The following is a 16,862-nucleotide window of genomic DNA, read 5'->3' on the forward strand; positions in this document are numbered from 1 at the left end:
TCCCAAAGAATAGTGGAGGAGGGGATGGAGCAGATGGAACTGGAGAGGATCAGATCATGCAAAGTCTTGTGGGCCACATTAATAATTTACTCAATAACATGAAAACAATAGAGGGTCACTGCATGTTTTTTGTGGGTAGTAACATAATTAGATTTTAGTTTAACAATATCATTCTGGTTTCAATGTGGAGAATGGATTGAAGGGAGGCAAGGAATGGAAATTGAAAGATCAGTTAAGGGATGACTGGTATAACCCAAGTGAAAAATAATAGTGGTCTAGATGAGGACAGTGGCAATGGGGAAAGGAAAGTGGGTGCACTCAAGCTAGGCAGAAGTCAGCTAGGCAAGATGTGTAACTGGTTCAACTTCTGCATAGAGGAGAATGTAGGTCCTTTCCATTCTAATATAGATGTTCCTTATTACCCAAATTCTTTATCCTTATCACCTCTTTATATCCAGTATTTGGTGAGGGGTGCCTTTTCCAGCCATTTGCAGCACATTGATAAATGGCACCCAGCCCCCTTGTTCACATCGCCCTTATTAAGGACTCTTAAGTTTTGGTGTGGACTGACACAAAGGCTGGATGTCTGCAGTTAACATTTGCACCAAGATTGAAAGGAGATTGTCTTCCCACTTTTGTCCTGAGCACATTTTATGCTAATCCATTTGCCCATCTCTGACCCTGGTTCCACACTTTGCCAGTCTGCTCCTACTTGATCTCTACCACTTTTCTGCCTCATCCTTAGATTTCTCTGCTACTAAAAGTAATAAATAAAAATTCGTAATACAAAGTAAAGGCTCTGGATAATGTGGGCCTTGGGATGCCTGTGGGCATAATTTCAGATACCAGCCTGGGTCCTACCAGTCTTTCCTGAGCTCACAGCCCTTCCTCCACCTTTGCTCCTTTTCAGTTTTCCCTTCTCTCTCTAAGCTAGCATTTGCACCAAGCACTTGTGTGGTTGAGGTTTCTCCCTATGGGTTCTCTCCTTTCTCTGTACCAGGCTTTCTTTTCCTGTTAACTCCGGGCATGTTAACCAAGGACCACATCTTTGTAGTGGCCACACACCATGAAGCTGGTGACTTCGTTCACCCAAATAAACCCCAAATGATGGACTTGTTATATATTTAATTCTTACCTCAAGAAGACAGGTTGTTACAGGATTGGGCACACCTACAAATTATTAATCTCCCCTTTAGATTCTTAACCAAATGAGGACAAGGATATATATGAAAATGAAAGTATACTATCAGAACCATCACCCCCAAGGAAGTTTGTGCTTTTTATGTATCATGTTGGCAGACACAGCTTGGATCTAGGTCAAGTGAGACTTCGTGCTACCTCGTCATAATCTTCCCCCAATTAATTGAGAACTTGAGGTCTGTGTGGATATGCAGAGAAAAGCTGAAGTACAGTTACACAGGTAGCTGTGTAGAGGACTGTGGCCTGCCTCATATCCCATAGAGCATAAAAGATGGGCCTCTTTGCCTCCTCACATGGGGAAGAGTAAGGGAAGAAGATAGACAGAGGGGCTGAAAGCATTAGTCCAGTGCTGTTTTCTCTAGAGAGTGGAGTAGAAGTTGTGTGACTCTGAGAGCAGGATAATGAGTTTTCTTCCCACCAGGGATGTTTGGAGAGTCCTACATGTGTCTGAATAAACCTCCTTTCTTGATTCTTCTCATTTTTACCCCAATTAGTGTCCCTACCTCATTTCCAGCCCTAGTCTTACCAAGCACTTGTGGCATGAAGGGATAACTCTTTAAGCAGCACCAGGGAGCCAAGCACTAAGACTATGAGAGAAAAGTTTGTTCTCAGCTTCTCTACCAAGACCCGTTTTAAGACAGAATGGGCATTCTTGCTATAGAAATATTACGTAGGGTCCTGGAGCCATTCAGCCCTCTTCCCGGGCTAGAGGCTCTAGTTCTTACAAAGCACTTCCATGGAGTTACGTGGATACTCATAGCAGCTAGTCAGGGAAATTAGCTGGCCTGGAGTCTGCCCACAGTGCCTTGGGAAAGGAGGAGCTTCTTCTCTCACCATTTTGAGACCCCAGTGCTTTACTGGCTCTACATATTGGCTGATGGAATCCTTAAAGGCAGAAAGGGCAGCTGGGCATGGTGGCTTACACCTGTAATCCTAGCACTTTGGGAGGCTGAGGTGGGTGGATCACCTGAGGTTGGGAGTTCGAGACCAGCCTGATGAACATGGTGAAACCCCGTCTCTACTAAACATACAAAAAATTAGCCGGACATGGTGGCACACACCTGTAATCCCAGCTACTCAGGAGGCTGAGGCAGGTGAATTGCTTGAACCCAGGAAGCATAGTACAGTGAGCTGAGATCGTGCCATTGCACTCTAGCCTGGGCAACAAAGCGAGACTCTGTCTCAAAAAAAAAAAAAAAAAAAAAAAAAAAGGGAAAGAAAAAGACAGAAAGGGCATCAGGGTCTCTGTAACTGCCTCTCCTGGAAGGTTCCCCTGGTCTCCTCTTCTCTCCCCCAGCCCCGGCCCTTGCCTCATCTGACTGCCAGTTCAGCTTTTTCTGTCTTAGATTACAGCAACCTGCAGGATTCCATCCAGGAAAGTCTTCAGGTGTTGTCCAAGATCTTGGCCATCGAAAAGTCAGGAGATTTAAACAAAATAGCTTTGGAGTGGGTGGCCATCATGCATGGCCTGGGTAAGTGCAGGCCTCTAGCCAGGCTGATGGGTGAGACCTGAGGCAGGATGTCCCAGAGGGATGGGGGTGAGAGGTGGAGGTTGGGTGGGAGAAGATATGAAGAACACAGTGAGGACCTCCTTCAGGGCTGTTTCTTGGGATGAAGAGATCAGGTTTTTATTCACAGTGAAAGTTTTTTCTCCCTCAAGCAAGTTCCCTGAGTCCTGCTGGGCAGAGTATTTTGCTTGGGCTGGTGGGGTACCTGAGAGGTCAGGAGCAGGGTGGACTCCCCTGCAGAAGGTAGAACCCTAGTGTTTCCCACCAGCATTCCTCTGGCTGCTTACACAGGTGCCCTGCTGGAGGTGTGGCTGACTTTCCAGCAGAAGTGGATTTTTCTGAATAAAGTTCTGCATGAGATGAAGATCCAGTTTCCTAATGCTGACCTGGTAGGGAAGGGGGTTGAGGCAGAGAGGGCAAGAAGGGTTCCTGAATAGCAGGGCTCAGCGTGGGAAAGGGGAGCTGCCACTTCATATTGGCCCTCACTTTTATCCTCTCCCTCACCACAGAACTCTCGTTTCAAGGTCATGGATGACCAGTATCGAACCCTGATGCGCATCTCTGTAGCTGACCCCATGGTTCTGTCACTTGTAGTGCCCAGTGCCGAGAGGAGCCCTTACTTCCAAGGCCAGCAGCTGCAACAACTGCTGCAAGCAGGATCGGTGGAGCTGGAGGGCATCATCATGAGTCTGGAGAGCGTGCTCTATGGGGTGTGTGCTCACTTCCCCCGCCTCTTCTTCCTTAGTGACAGTGAGCTGGTAGCCCTGCTGGCTGCTCGACTGGAATCATGCGAAGCCCAGCTATGGGTACGACGCTGCTTTCCTCATGTGCATGCTGTGAGCTTCAGGTCTTGCCCAACTGGTGAGAAAAACACAGATGACTGGGAGTCAAGCCCAAACACACAGACTCAGGTGGAGGCACTTGCAGTGCTAGGGGCAGGTGGGGAGGAGGTGAAGCTGCAGGGTCCCCTTCCTCTGCATCCAGATCTCCCTAAGTGGCTGGCCTCTCTGGAGAAGTGTCTGCGCTTGGCACTGGTGCACATGCTGCAGGGCTGTGTGGCTGCTCGCCTTGCTCGAGGCCCATCTCTAGGTGAGGCCCTCAAGCAACTGCCCAAGCAAAACAAGTTGTACCTGCAACTGTATGTCCAGCACTGGATCGACTTAGTCCAGGCCTTCCCATGGCAGTGTGTGCTGGTGGCAGAGGAGGTGGTATGGCGGGCCGAGATGGAGGAGGCTCTGCTTGAGTGGGGTACCCTGGCCATGGTCTCCATGCATATGCGCAAGCTTGAGGTACTGGTGAATTTTATGCGGGCCCAGAGGGCTTCCCAAGGTGGGCAGTCCCTGCCTTCTGTCCGCCAGACCAGCCTTCTCAGTGCCCTGCTGGTCATGGCAGTGACTCACCGGGATATAGCACAGCTGCTGGAACAGCACCAGGTCAGTGATCTCACAGACTTTCACTGGGTCCGCCAACTCAAGTATCACTTGGGTTCACCTCACATAATCCCCAAAAGCCCCCTACAGAGTCTTAAGACTATTGCATCTTCTGAACCCTCTCTGTCACCAGCGGCATGCTGGATAGATGTGCTAGGCAGGTCCTTCCTGTACAATTACGAGTATCTGGGACCTAGACTAGGGCCTCTACCCAGCCTACTGCCTGAACGGCCAGCCCTGGTACTATTATTGGCCCTAGAGGAGGTGGCCTGTGGGACCGTACTGGGTCCTAATGGTGTGGGCAAGAGAGCTATAGTGAACAGCCTGGCACAGGCCCTGGGCCGCCAGCTGGTGATGCTACCCTGCTCACCTCAGATAGAGGCTCAATGCCTGAGCAACTATCTGAATGGTGCCCTGCAGGGTGGTGCCTGGCTGCTGTTGGAGAAAGTTCATCAGCTGCCCCCTGGCTTGCTCTCTGCCCTGGGCCAGCGCCTGGGTGAACTGCACCACTTGTATGCCCCACTGTACCAGGAGGCTTCCCGAAACACAAGCACCATAGACCCCACCCAGCCCCAGCTCCTTGGCAGTAGCTTCTTTGAAAAACATCACGTGTCTGTGCGCCTTGGCTATGGCTGTCTCCTGGTACTGCGTGCCCTGAGCTCTGCTGTGCCTGCCAACCTGCACCTGCTGCTGCGGCCTGTGGCATTGGCATTGCCTGATCTGCGGCAAGTGGCAGAGCTGACTCTGCTGGGTGCAGGGATGAGGGATGCCTTCCAGATGGCTACCCGCCTATCCAAATTCTTCTCTCTAGAGCGTGAGCTGGTGTCTGGGCCCCTGCCCTGCCGCCTGCCACTGCTCAAGCAGATACTGGAAGACACAATACGGACACTAAATGTGACCAAGGAGGAACCGAAGTGCCAGAAGCCTCGCAGCCTAGCTGCCATTGAGGAGGCTGCCCTACTGCGCTCACCACTGTTTAGCATTCTCAATGGGCTCCACCTGCACAACCTCCGAGGGCTGTTGTGTGCGCTTTTCCCTAGCGCCAGCCAAGTGCTGGCAGAACCTATGACTTACAAGCTGATGAAGCCATTGGTGGTGGAGGAACTGCAACAGGTAGGTCTGGATCCCAGCCCTGACATTTTGGGGTCCTTGGAACAGTTGAGCCAGGCCCTGAGCCGGGCCTCAGGCATTCTGCTCCTGGGCCCTGCGGGCAGCGGCAAGACCACTTGTTGGCACAGCTTATTTAAGATCCAGAATCGGCTGGCAGCCATGGAGGACACCTCAACCCAAGGCTGCCAGCCTGTGGAAATTACCCACCTGTACCCCAGTGGCCTCAGCCCCCAGGAGTTCCTGGGATGGCTAGAGGGCTCCTGCTGGCATCATGGCATCTTTCCCAAGGTACTTCGTGCAGCCGGTCAGTGTAACAACATGGGCCAAAAGAGGCAGACAGAGGAATCAATCGGGATCCAGCACTGGATAATATGTGATGGAGCCTCCAATGGTGCTTGGCTGGACTCCATCACTTGCCTCCTGAGTGAGCTTCCCCAGCTTAGTCTCCCCAGTGGACAGCAGATAGCACGACCCCCAGGCACCTTTCTCTTGATGGAGGTGGCTGACACAACAGGCATATCCCCCACAGTGGTAGGCTGTTGTGCCCTAGTCTGGTGTGGTGGAGAGCAGACTTGGCAGTGTATACTTAGTGCCCTGATGGCATCCCTTCCTTATGAGTACCGCCTGCAGCACCGGACAGTCGCTGAGCTCAACCACATGGCTGAGGTTCTGGTGCCTGCAACATTGCGATTCCTCACCTGCCAAGGTGTCAGCTCTCTGCTGCAGGTACACGGGCAGCAGGCTGTTTGTGCAGGTGTGGCAGAAGTTACCAGCATGGCACGCATCTTGCATAGTCTGCTTGACCTCCACCTTCGCCTAAAGGAGGAGAAGGCCCCTGGCCCAGGTGGGAAGATGGACGGGCTGGTTTGAGAGAGATGGGGCCTTAAGGGTAGCTGGGGTATATAGCTGGAGCCTGGGGCGTGTGTTCTTTGGTGGATCTGGGCCAGGAGTGAAAAGTAATACTGTCAACCTTTTTTCTTTCTTTCACCTTCCACCTTTTTCTACTGGGGCTCCTCTCGTGGCCATGGCAACTTTCACAGAGGACCTCAGCTATAGTGATCCTGTGGCCCAAAGCTTCAGGTCTTCAAAAAGCAGCTTTCTAAACCGGTCCCAGGTTGACAGTGACGATGTGCCAGATAAGTGCAGGGAACACTTGCTGGCTGTCAGCAGTTTTCTTTTTGCCTTGATCTGGGGCTTTGGAGCCCACCTTCCCTCCAGGTACCTACCAGGATGGGGGATGGGAGATGCAGAGGGCTGAGATGGACTGGCCCATGGAAGTAAAAACCCACATGACATCACTGTTAGGGTATGGTGGAGTGTGTGAGTGTGTCATAAATGGAAGTGTTGTAACTGTCTGACGCTTTTGCCTGTGTGTCCATCTGAGCAGGTTCTGGCCCATCTTTGATACCTTCATAAGGGATTCTATTAGTCGCCTCTCCAACTACCCTGAGCCACCACCCTCAGCCTTGGTGTTTGATCTACATGTAAGCCCTGAAGATGGAACACTGGTCCCCTTCACTGGCCAATACCTGAGCAGCCACATCAAAGGAACTTTGGGCACCTTTCACCCTTCTATCCAGGTGTGAGGACAGTAAGGCAAGAGCTGGGGTTAGAACTTCAGGACTTATTTTAGGGGTAATCCATGTTCAAAGATCAGCTGAGGCCCACTTGCTCCCTTTCTTTGATATATTTTCACAATCACAAGAATACATGAAATATTTTCCAAGTACAGCTCTAGGACAAGTCCCTTAGACTTTTATTTTCAGCTAGATTACTGTCTTATACTGGAGGTGCTGCAGTAAGTCCCACTTCTGTCTTGCAGACTGAACGGCTCTTGTATGTGGTGGACCTGCTTCTGTCAGGGGGACAGCCAGTGTTGCTGGCTGGAGAGGCAGCAACAGGGAAGTCAGCCTTTGTGGAGGTGCTGGTAGAGCCACATCACCCTTACATATACAGCCCCATCCACCCTGCCTTCAGTTCCTCCCACCTCCGTCTCCTGCTGAGCAGAGGAATCCAGGGCCAAACACAAGCCAGCCCACAGCCTGGGCATCACCAGGATTCTAAACCCTCCCTCCTCTTCTTGCTGGAGGACCTGCACCTAGCCACTTCTGGTGAGGAGCTGCGAAGAGGGAAGGAAGGAGCTACTGTCATCTCTTGAGACTATAAAATCCCTAGCAATATTCATTGACTCTCAAATATATGTCTGTAGATCTAACTTTAGTGTTCTGTTCTTAATATCTTCTCATTCTACATATGCTCCCTGAACAATCCCATCCACTCTCATGGCCTCATCTCTGCTTTGCTAAATCTCTGTGTCCAATCTCACTTCTTTTCTAAGCACCAGATCTGTCTATCCAGCTGTCTACTGTACGTCTCCACCTTGTTGTCCTGTTGGTACCTCAGACCCAACCCTGAGCTCATCATCTCCCCGCGGCCAAAATCTGCTCCTGTCTGTCCTCTTAGTTTCACCATCCAGCCAGTCATGTAAGCCAGAAATCTTGTTGACATCTCATTCTCCTTCACCAATATCCAGTCACCATGTCTTTTCAATCCTACCTCCTTCATATTTCTTGAATCTTTCCACTTATTTCCATGGTTCAGATGATCTTTACTTGGAAATCTGACAAATGCTCTTACAAAGCTTTCTGTGATGAGGCTTTCTTCTGTGTCCTCTTACACTCTCTCTAATTGGACTTAACAAGTCAGGCTTCCTCTAGACCCTGGGATTGCTGTCCTCTCTGCCTTCTCTATGTGGCTAAATTCTACTTATTATTTCTAAATTACCTAAGGCAGTAGCTTCTCCAGGAAGCCTGATCCATAGGCTCGGTTAGATATCCATCCTGTGCTCTGTACAATAATCTGTGATAACCATGATTTTATTATTGTATGCTTGCCTATCTGTCCCTTTCACCACACTTGGAGATTTATGAGAACAGAGAACAGAAATTTGTCTCATTCATTTTGGTAGACCCAACAGGAAGTAAGTGCTCAATAAAAGTTTGTAGAAGACAAGATAACAAAGGAAAGGAGAAAAATCTTGATAAAAATTTGGGATATTGAAGTGTAAAGTTTCTAAAGTGGTATGCCTCTAGATGATGAGAGTTTCTAAATATGGCCATGGGATTGGGAAGTGAATTTTAGGTAGAGGTTGTTGGAGTCAAGGAAGTCAATGGGCTGAAGCACTGGATAGGCTATCCAGTTAAACAGCGAAGTCTCTTATGAGATGTAGAAAACTTGAACCAGATGTATTCGTACTTAATAATAGCCAGTACAATTTATTGAATATCTACTATGTGCTCTATGATATGTCTATGTCATCTTCAGTGCTCATAAAAGCCAAGTAAGATGGGGAATTTTTGCAATTATTTTAAAGATGAAGAAACAGAGACAGAGATTTTAGAACTTGCCCAAGATACCCTAGCTATGAAGTGTCAGAACCAAGATTAAAATTCAAGTCTATTTGGTTCCAAAACCTGTAGTTCCTTCCAGCTATATTATTTGGTCTTTGCAATGAATTTGCACAAAATTAGAGACAATAGAAGGAGTAAAGAGTGGTACAGTCAGATATATGAAGAGATTTCAGCTGAGAAGAGACTTCAGCAACATTGTAGAGTGAAGAATATTACTGCTGGCAGAATGTAAAAGGTGTCCTTGAGTGACAACCACCAGAACATCCAGTATAAAATAAAAAATAAATAGACATGCCAACAAAAACCCCCAGAAAATAATGTGACCTGCTGTCAAGAAGAAGCAAGCAATAGAATAGAAACTGACCCTGAGATCTATATAGCTGTACGCTGTCCAAAAGATGCACTTTAAATATAAAAACACAGATAGATTAAAAGAAGTTTTTAATGCAAAATATTTACTACAGAAATAGTTTGCATAAGGAAGTTGATGTGGCAATATTAATACCAAAGCACTTTAAGACAAAGGATATTACCAGAGATAGAAAAGGACATCTCATAATTGAAAGATTCAACTCATCAGAAAGACAAAAGTCTTAAATGTGTCCACACCTAAAATAGACATTTAAGTATAGGGAAAAAAAGCCAATAGAAACAAAAGAGACATAGTAAATCTGAAATCATATTAAGAAATTAATATGCCTCTCACAATAACTGATAAGACAAGGAGCAAGAAAGTAGGGACATTAAAGATCTGAATAACACTAGCAACACACTGACATTTACAAAACATTATACTCACCAACTGCAAAATGCACCTTCTTTTCAAATGCACATGAAACATTCACCAAGATAGACCATATGCTGGGTTACAAAATAAGTCTCAACAAATTTCAAAGGATTAACATTTTAAATAATATTTTATCTGACCATAACAATACAAATATTGATAAGATGCCTAGAGAATTTCCAAATTCTTTAAAATTAACACACTTCTAAATAATGTACCAAAAAAGAAATTACAAGAGAAATTAGAGAATGTTTTGAACTAAATAATAATGAAAACAAAACATATCAAAATTTGTGAGATGCAACTAAAGGTTATAGCTTTAAATATCTATCTTAGAGAGAAAAGCTTGGAATCAATGACCTAAATTTTCAGCTTAAGACTCTAGAAAAAGAAGAGCAAGTTATACCCAAAGCAATTAAAAGGAAATCAATAATAAAGAACAGAGCAGAAATCAGTGAAATAGAAAAACATACAAACAATGGAGAATATCAACAAAGCCATATTTTGTTTCTTTGAAAAAGATAAAATTGACAATCGCCTATTAACACAAATCAAGAAATGAAAAGGAAAACATAAATTTTGAATATCAGGAATGAAAGAGGTTTTATTAAAGATATTTAAAAGGATAAAAAGGGAGCCAGGGCCGGGCACTGTGGCTCACGCCTGTAATCCCGGCACTTTGGGAGGCCAAGGAGGGCAGATCACGAGGTCAGGAGATGGAGACCATCCTGGCCAACATGGTGAAACCCCGTCTCTACTAAAAATGCAAAAATTAGCTGGGCATGGTGGCATGTACCTGTAATCACAGCTACTCGGGAGGCTGAGGCAGGAGAATTGCTTGAACCAGGGAGGTGGAAGTTGCGGTGAGCTGAGATTTGCACCACTGCACTCCAGCCTGGTGACAGAGCGAGACTCCGTCTCCAAAAAAAAAAAGGGGAGCCAGGCATGGTGGCATGCACCTGTAATCCCAGCTACTAGGGAGGGAGGCTTAGGCAGGAGGATTTCTTAAGGCCAGGAGTTCAAGACCAGCCTGGGCAGCATAGTGGGACCCTCATTTAAAAAAAAAAGTTTTAAAAAATGGATAATAAGGGAAAATTATGAAAAACTTTATGCTAATAAATTTAGCAACTTAGGTGAAATGGATACATGCTGTATTAGTCTGTTTTCACACTGCAATAAAGAACTACTTGAGACTGGGTAATTCATAAAGAAAAGAGGGTTAGGCCAGGCATGGTGGCTCACGCCTGTAATCCCAGCACTTTGGGAGGCTGAGGCAGGTTGATCCCTTGAGGTCAGGAGTTTGAGACCAGCCTGGCCAACATGGTGAAACCCCATCTCTACTAAAAATACAAAAATTAGCTGGGTGTGGTGGGGGTCACCTGTAATCCCAACTACTTGGGAGGCTGAGGCAGGAGAATCGCTTGAACCTGGGAGGCAGAGGTTGCAACGAGCCAGGATCACGCCATTGCACTCCAGCCTGGGTGACAAGAGCAAAACTTCGTCCCAAAAAATATATATATATAAGTAGGTTTAATTGACTCACAGTTCCGCATGGATGGGGAGCCCTCAGGAAACTTAAAGTCGTGGCAAAAGGCGAAGGGGAGGCAAGGCACATCTTACATAGCAGTTGGCGGGGGCGGGGTGGGGTGAAGAGATGTACCATCAGAACTTATGAGAAATTGCTCACTATCATGAGAACAGCATGGGGGAAGCCGGCCCCGTGATCCACTCACCTCCCACCAGGTCCCTCCCTCAACATATGGGGATTACAATTCAAGACAAAATTTGGTTGGGGACACAGAGCCAAACCATATCACATGCCTTACAAAAACATAACTTGTCAAAGCTTGAACAAAAGAAGAAAAATAATAGAAAATGAACAGCCTCATACCTAAGAAAAGTTTGAATGCATAATAAATGTTTCCAGTCCCAGATGGTTATACAGTTGAATTATATCAAATATTTAGAAAAAAAGTACAACTTATATATACTTTTTCAGAAAATGGAGAATACTAAGCCATGATGAAGACATTTCAAGCAAAGAAATAAACTGTTATCTTTCATAAACCTAAATGCAAAAATAAATCCTCACTGAAATATTATTAAATAAAATTCAGCAACATACAAAAAGAATAATATCTTAAGACCAAACGGAGTCTATCCTGGGAAGGCAAAGCTGACTAAACATTGAAAAATCAATCAGTGTAGCTCACATTAACAGAATAAAGGAGCAAATGAGTAAGTAATATTAGTAGATAAAAATCACTTGACAAAATTCCAACACTATTCCATAACTCCCAGGAAACTAGGAATAGAAGATAACTTTCTCAATTTGATGAAAAGCATCTATTATACTTACAGCTAAATACATACTTAATGGTTAAATATTGAATACTGTCCCCCTAAAATCAGTTAAAAGGCAAGAACATACTCACTGCTTCTATTCAACACTGTACTGGAGACCACATCGACGCAATTAAGAAAAAGAAATAAAAGCTTTTAAAATTAGAAAAGACAAGTTAAAACTGTCTGTATTGGCATGTAATATGATTGTCTACATAGAGACCCCAAAGGAATATTTTTTTAAACCCCATAAAAAACTACTACAATAAATAAGTTAATTCATCAGGGTCACAGGATACAGAATCAATCCATTGAAATCATTTGTACTTCTATATCCTAGTAACAAAACATTGGAAATTGAAATTTTAAAATATCACTTAAAAGTCATTTAAAAGCATAAAATACTTAGGAATAAATTTAATTAAAAGCATTCAAGATCTGTACACTGAAAATGACTAAATATTGCTGAGATAGAGGAAATGTAAATAAATGGAGAAATATATGATGTTCATGGATCAGAAGAGTCAGTATCATTAAGGTCTTCATTCTCCCCCAAATGATCTATAGATTCAATGCAATGCCAAGCTAAATCTTAACAGATTTTTTTTTGGTAAGTTGACAGTCTTATTCTGAAACTTATATAGCAATGCAAAAGATCTAGAGCAGCCAAGCAACTTTGAAAAAGAACAAAGTTGGGACACCTACACTAGTGATGTTAAAACTTGCTATACAGTTGTTGTAATGAAGAGAGTGTGGTATTGGTATAAGGATATACATATGGACTAATGGAATAGAACAGAAAATCTGATATATAGTCATATGTGGCCAGTTGATTTTTAATAAATGTGCCAAGATAATTCAATGGGGGAAAGGATAGCCTTTTCAAAAAATGGTGCTGGAACATCTGGATATATGCATGGAAAAAAATGAACCATGTATTCTACCTCAAAATCTAGATAAAAATAAATTATAGGTGGATCACAGACCTAAAGCTAAAACTATAAAATTTTTAGAAAAAAATTGGAGAAAAATCTGTGTGACCTTGGTTGGGCAATGATTTCTTGGGCACAAAAACTAAATTTTATCAAAATTGAAAACCTATGCCCTTCAAAAGACACTGTTACGAAAATGAAAAAAATAAGCTATTGACAGAGAAAACATGCATGATACATGTATCTGACAAAGGACTTGAACCTAGAATACATAAAAAACTCTTACAACTCAATAAGAAAACAAACATCATCCCAATGTTTTAAATGGACAAAAGACTTACACTTCACAAAAGATGTATGAGTGGGCAACAGTATACAAAAAGATGCTTGATATTATCAGGCATCAGTGAACTGCAAATTTAAACCACCATGTGATAATTAAAAAGACTGACAATAATAAGTGTTTTCAAAGATGTAGAGCAACTGAAACTCTCTCACTTTGATGGTGAGAATGTAAAATGGTACATCCACTATAAAAAATATATGCCAGTTTCTTACAAAATTAAATATTACTTAACATATGACCCAGCAATTCCACTCTTAGGTATTCACCCAAGTAAAATGAGAACCGCATATCCTCAAACTTAGTATACATGAACATTCATAGCAGCATTGTTCTGTATAATGGTAAATCCACATCTCCACCCAAATGGCTCCAGGTGGTGGCAAGAGATAAGAGTTTAGAAGCGCCTCTCCCACCCAGCAGACTAGCTCCCTGCTTTGCCTCCTTTCCTTTAAAAACAGGCCATTCAGGCATTTGCCTGAAAACTTAAAATGACCCACACCCTATTCCCTTACATATACTGCCAGTCCCTCCCTCCATCCCTCCTCTCCTCCCTCATTCCCTCTCTCTCTGTCTCTCTCTCTGTCTCTTTCTCTCTCTGTCTCTCTCAATCTAACTCTTCATTGCTGCCTCAGGTGACATGAGGATGGAGGACTGATCTCCCGGCTCATTATGCCCTCCTTGCACAGGATTAAGTAAAAATCTTTGAACTTGTTTCCTATTGTTGTGGTGTATTGAATTTGTCCTTCTATCTAAAGAACCAGAATAAGTTTTCTGTGTGAAGGACTCTCTGGTCACAGGTCAGACAACTAGGCATTAGGCTGTCCATCAGATAAAAGAAGTATCCTGTGAAAGGCACACTGTAAACCCCCACACTCAGCTCCCCTTTATTTCCTGTTAGGGCAGGGTTGTTGGCTGCTCTGGTACTAGAACACCAGTTTAACTGGGGGCTCTCAGAAAAATACTACTCAGGAATAAAATGGAACAAACTAAGGAAACACGCAAAAACATGGATGAGTCTCAAAAACCTGCTGAGTAAAAGAAGATAGACATGATCAAGTACATACCGTATGATTCTATTTATATGAGGTTCTAGAACAGACAAAGCTAACCTATAGTGATGGAAATCCGATCAAATAACAATGCCTGTGATGGTGGTGGCAGAGGGATTGATTGGCTTTAAAGGAGCATGAGGAACTTTCTAGGGTGATGAAAATGTTCTAAATATCATTGGGGTGGTGATGACACAGGTGTGTACATTAGTCAAAATTCACTGAACTGTACACTTAAAATGTATACATTTTGTTGTATGTAAATCATGTCTTAATAAAATTTATTTTTAAAATTTATTATTATTATTATTTTTAGAGACAAAGTCTCACTCTGCCACTCAGGCTGGATGGTGCGATCAGGGCTCACTCAAGCTCTTGTGCTCAAGTGATCCTCCAGCCTTAGCCTCCCAAGTAGACAGGTCTACAGCACACATCACCAGGCCCAGCTATTTTATTTTTCATTTTTTGTAGAAACAAGGTCTTGCTATGTTACCCAGGCTGGTCTTGAACTCCTGGCCTCAAGAAATCTTTCCATCTCAGCCTCCAAAAGTGTTGATTACAGGAGTGAGCCACCACCTCCCAGCCTAAAGTTGATTTTTTTTTAAGTGCACATGTGATATAACTGTATTCTCTTTGACTGAAATGATTGCGCTTTCCTGCTAATTGTGATCGATCTGGTTTCTATCCTTCTCAGCTTCCAAATCTTATTATTCATTAACCTTCAGTTAATGATTATTCATTATTATCATTATTAACCTTCGGTTAATGAATAATAAGTCACAGAGGTAGGATCTAGGGAGAAGAGAGAAGAAATTCCTCAATTTTAGGGAGAATGTGGGGGAGGGAGAATAGCTTACTCAAATGTGACCAAGTCCCAACACGTCAGATTCACAAAATTCCTTTAGAACCGTGTGTGGCAGGAATAGAGGGAACAGGTTGATACTCTCATGTGGACTTTTACATGTCCTCATTATTATTCCTCATGTCCCATAGACCCAGAGAAGAGCTGCCAGCCAGTGTTGGAGACTCTGCGCCAGGCCATGGATGGCACTGTGTATGCCCACAGCACCTTGGAACTGCAGACGCTGCAGCCTACAGTCAACTTCCTTGCCACTGTCACAGTGCCAGGATACTGTGAGCGCCCACTGTGTCCACGCCTCTTTCGACTCTTCACAGTCCTGGCCCTGGAAAGCATGACCCAGGCCACCCTGCTGGAAAGACATGTGCCTATCATTCAGGCTTGGCTTGAGCGTTTCCCTTCTGTGGAACGGGAGCGTGCTCTGGCACGAGGTCTGGTTAGGGCCTCAGTAGAGGCCTGGGAGGCTGTGTGCAATTGCTTCATGCCTTCACCCCTCCACCCACACTACCACTTCTCCCTACACTCTGTGAGCCACCTACTGAGCAGCCTGCAGCTGCTGCCCAACAGAACAGGCTCCCGAGGTTTTGTGGACTATCCCAACCACCAGGAGCACTTGCGCCGGGTGTCAGGCCTGCGAGGCACTTGTCTGACCGTTATGATGGCCACACGCAATGTGGTGCGTCTTTGGTTGCATGAGGCACAGAGAACCTTTTGCGACCGGCTGGACAGCCCCAGGGAACGCTCCTACTGTGCCAAGCTGCTCCTAGTAGTAGCTCAAAGTGTCTTCTGCTGTGGGCCAGGGCCCCAGCACCTGGGCAAGGACCATCAGGAGAGTGAGGAGGAGGAGGAGGAGGAGAGGGTGCCCGAAGTAGAATCTGAAGGGGAGTTGGCCCAGTGGGAGGACTTCAGCAACAGCAATAGTGAAACAGAGGAGGAAGAGGAACCTTATGGCCTTCAGGTCGCCAGAGTCTCAAACTCCAGAGATCCAAGTCTAACACCATCCATAGGACCAGTAAGCAGGGGGATGAAGGAAAGCATAAGTCACAAGATAAGGCAAGAGAAAGGCACAAGGGCATCCAACTATAGGCTCCAGGTAAGGAGATCATTCAAGACTTGGTGGCAGAAGAAACCCCAGATGGACCTGATCTCACCCTTGTTGTTACCAGTGTTACTACTACATCCCCAGGAAAAGCCCTCAGACCTGGTCTTCAGTCAGGAGCTGATACTGGGGCCTAACTCTGAGACCCCCAACTTGTACCTGGAACGACAGTGGGAGAAGCTAGAGGAGCAGTTGGCCACCTCAGCTGCTCAACTGAAGTTGAGCCCCCACCTGGCCCGGTGTCATTCCATGGCCCAGCACGTGGCCCGCCTGGTCCGGGTGCTGGCCAGGCCCCGGCAGCATGGCCTGCTGCTCTCGGGGGCTCTGGGTACTGGGCGCCACACTGCCATCACTCTGGCTTCTAGCATTTGTCAGGCCCATTTCTTTCATCTACCATCTGGGTCAGAGGAGGCCATTCTCCAATGTCTACGAGATGCCAGCTGGCATGCTGGCATGTTAAGCCAGCCAGTGGCTCTGTTGGTACCCAGTGGTGTGGATCTCACTACACTTCATCGCCTCCTGGCCCTGGCAACCTCAGGCAGTTTCCCTGGCCAGTACACAGAAGCAGATTTGGACCGCATTGGAGAACACCTCCCCAGGGAGAACCTTGGTGTCAAACAGAACATCAAGAAGGAAATGGTGTTGCAGAGGTGAGGCCAAGAACCCCATATGCGAATCTGCTCTGCTCTTACGCTGTCTTGGCCAAAAGGCCAAAAGGAATTCTGTGGGCTGCCATGAGGGCTGAGAAGATTGGGGCTAAGTGGTCTGGCTGGGACTGGGGCCAGGAGG

At 45.5% G+C, this 16,862-nt stretch overlaps 1 protein-coding gene across 1 annotated transcript in view; it reads left to right on the top strand.

Annotated features, from left to right (window-relative positions):
- The window catches only part of DNHD1 (dynein heavy chain domain 1), a 74,741-nt gene that overhangs the window by 44,295 nt on the left and 13,584 nt on the right, over window positions 1-16,862 (top strand). The window contains exons 19-25 of the mRNA NM_144666.3: window positions 2,547-2,672; window positions 3,000-3,097; window positions 3,218-6,092; window positions 6,289-6,466; window positions 6,636-6,828; window positions 7,071-7,359; window positions 15,109-16,723. Coding sequence (NP_653267.2) covers window positions 2,547-2,672; window positions 3,000-3,097; window positions 3,218-6,092; window positions 6,289-6,466; window positions 6,636-6,828; window positions 7,071-7,359; window positions 15,109-16,723 — 5,374 coding nt within the window. The remainder of the gene's footprint in view (window positions 1-2,546; window positions 2,673-2,999; window positions 3,098-3,217; window positions 6,093-6,288; window positions 6,467-6,635; window positions 6,829-7,070; window positions 7,360-15,108; window positions 16,724-16,862) is intronic.

This window comes from Homo sapiens, chromosome 11, assembly GCF_000001405.40.
Source record: "Homo sapiens chromosome 11, GRCh38.p14 Primary Assembly".
NCBI classification, from domain to species: domain Eukaryota; kingdom Metazoa; phylum Chordata; class Mammalia; order Primates; family Hominidae; genus Homo; species Homo sapiens.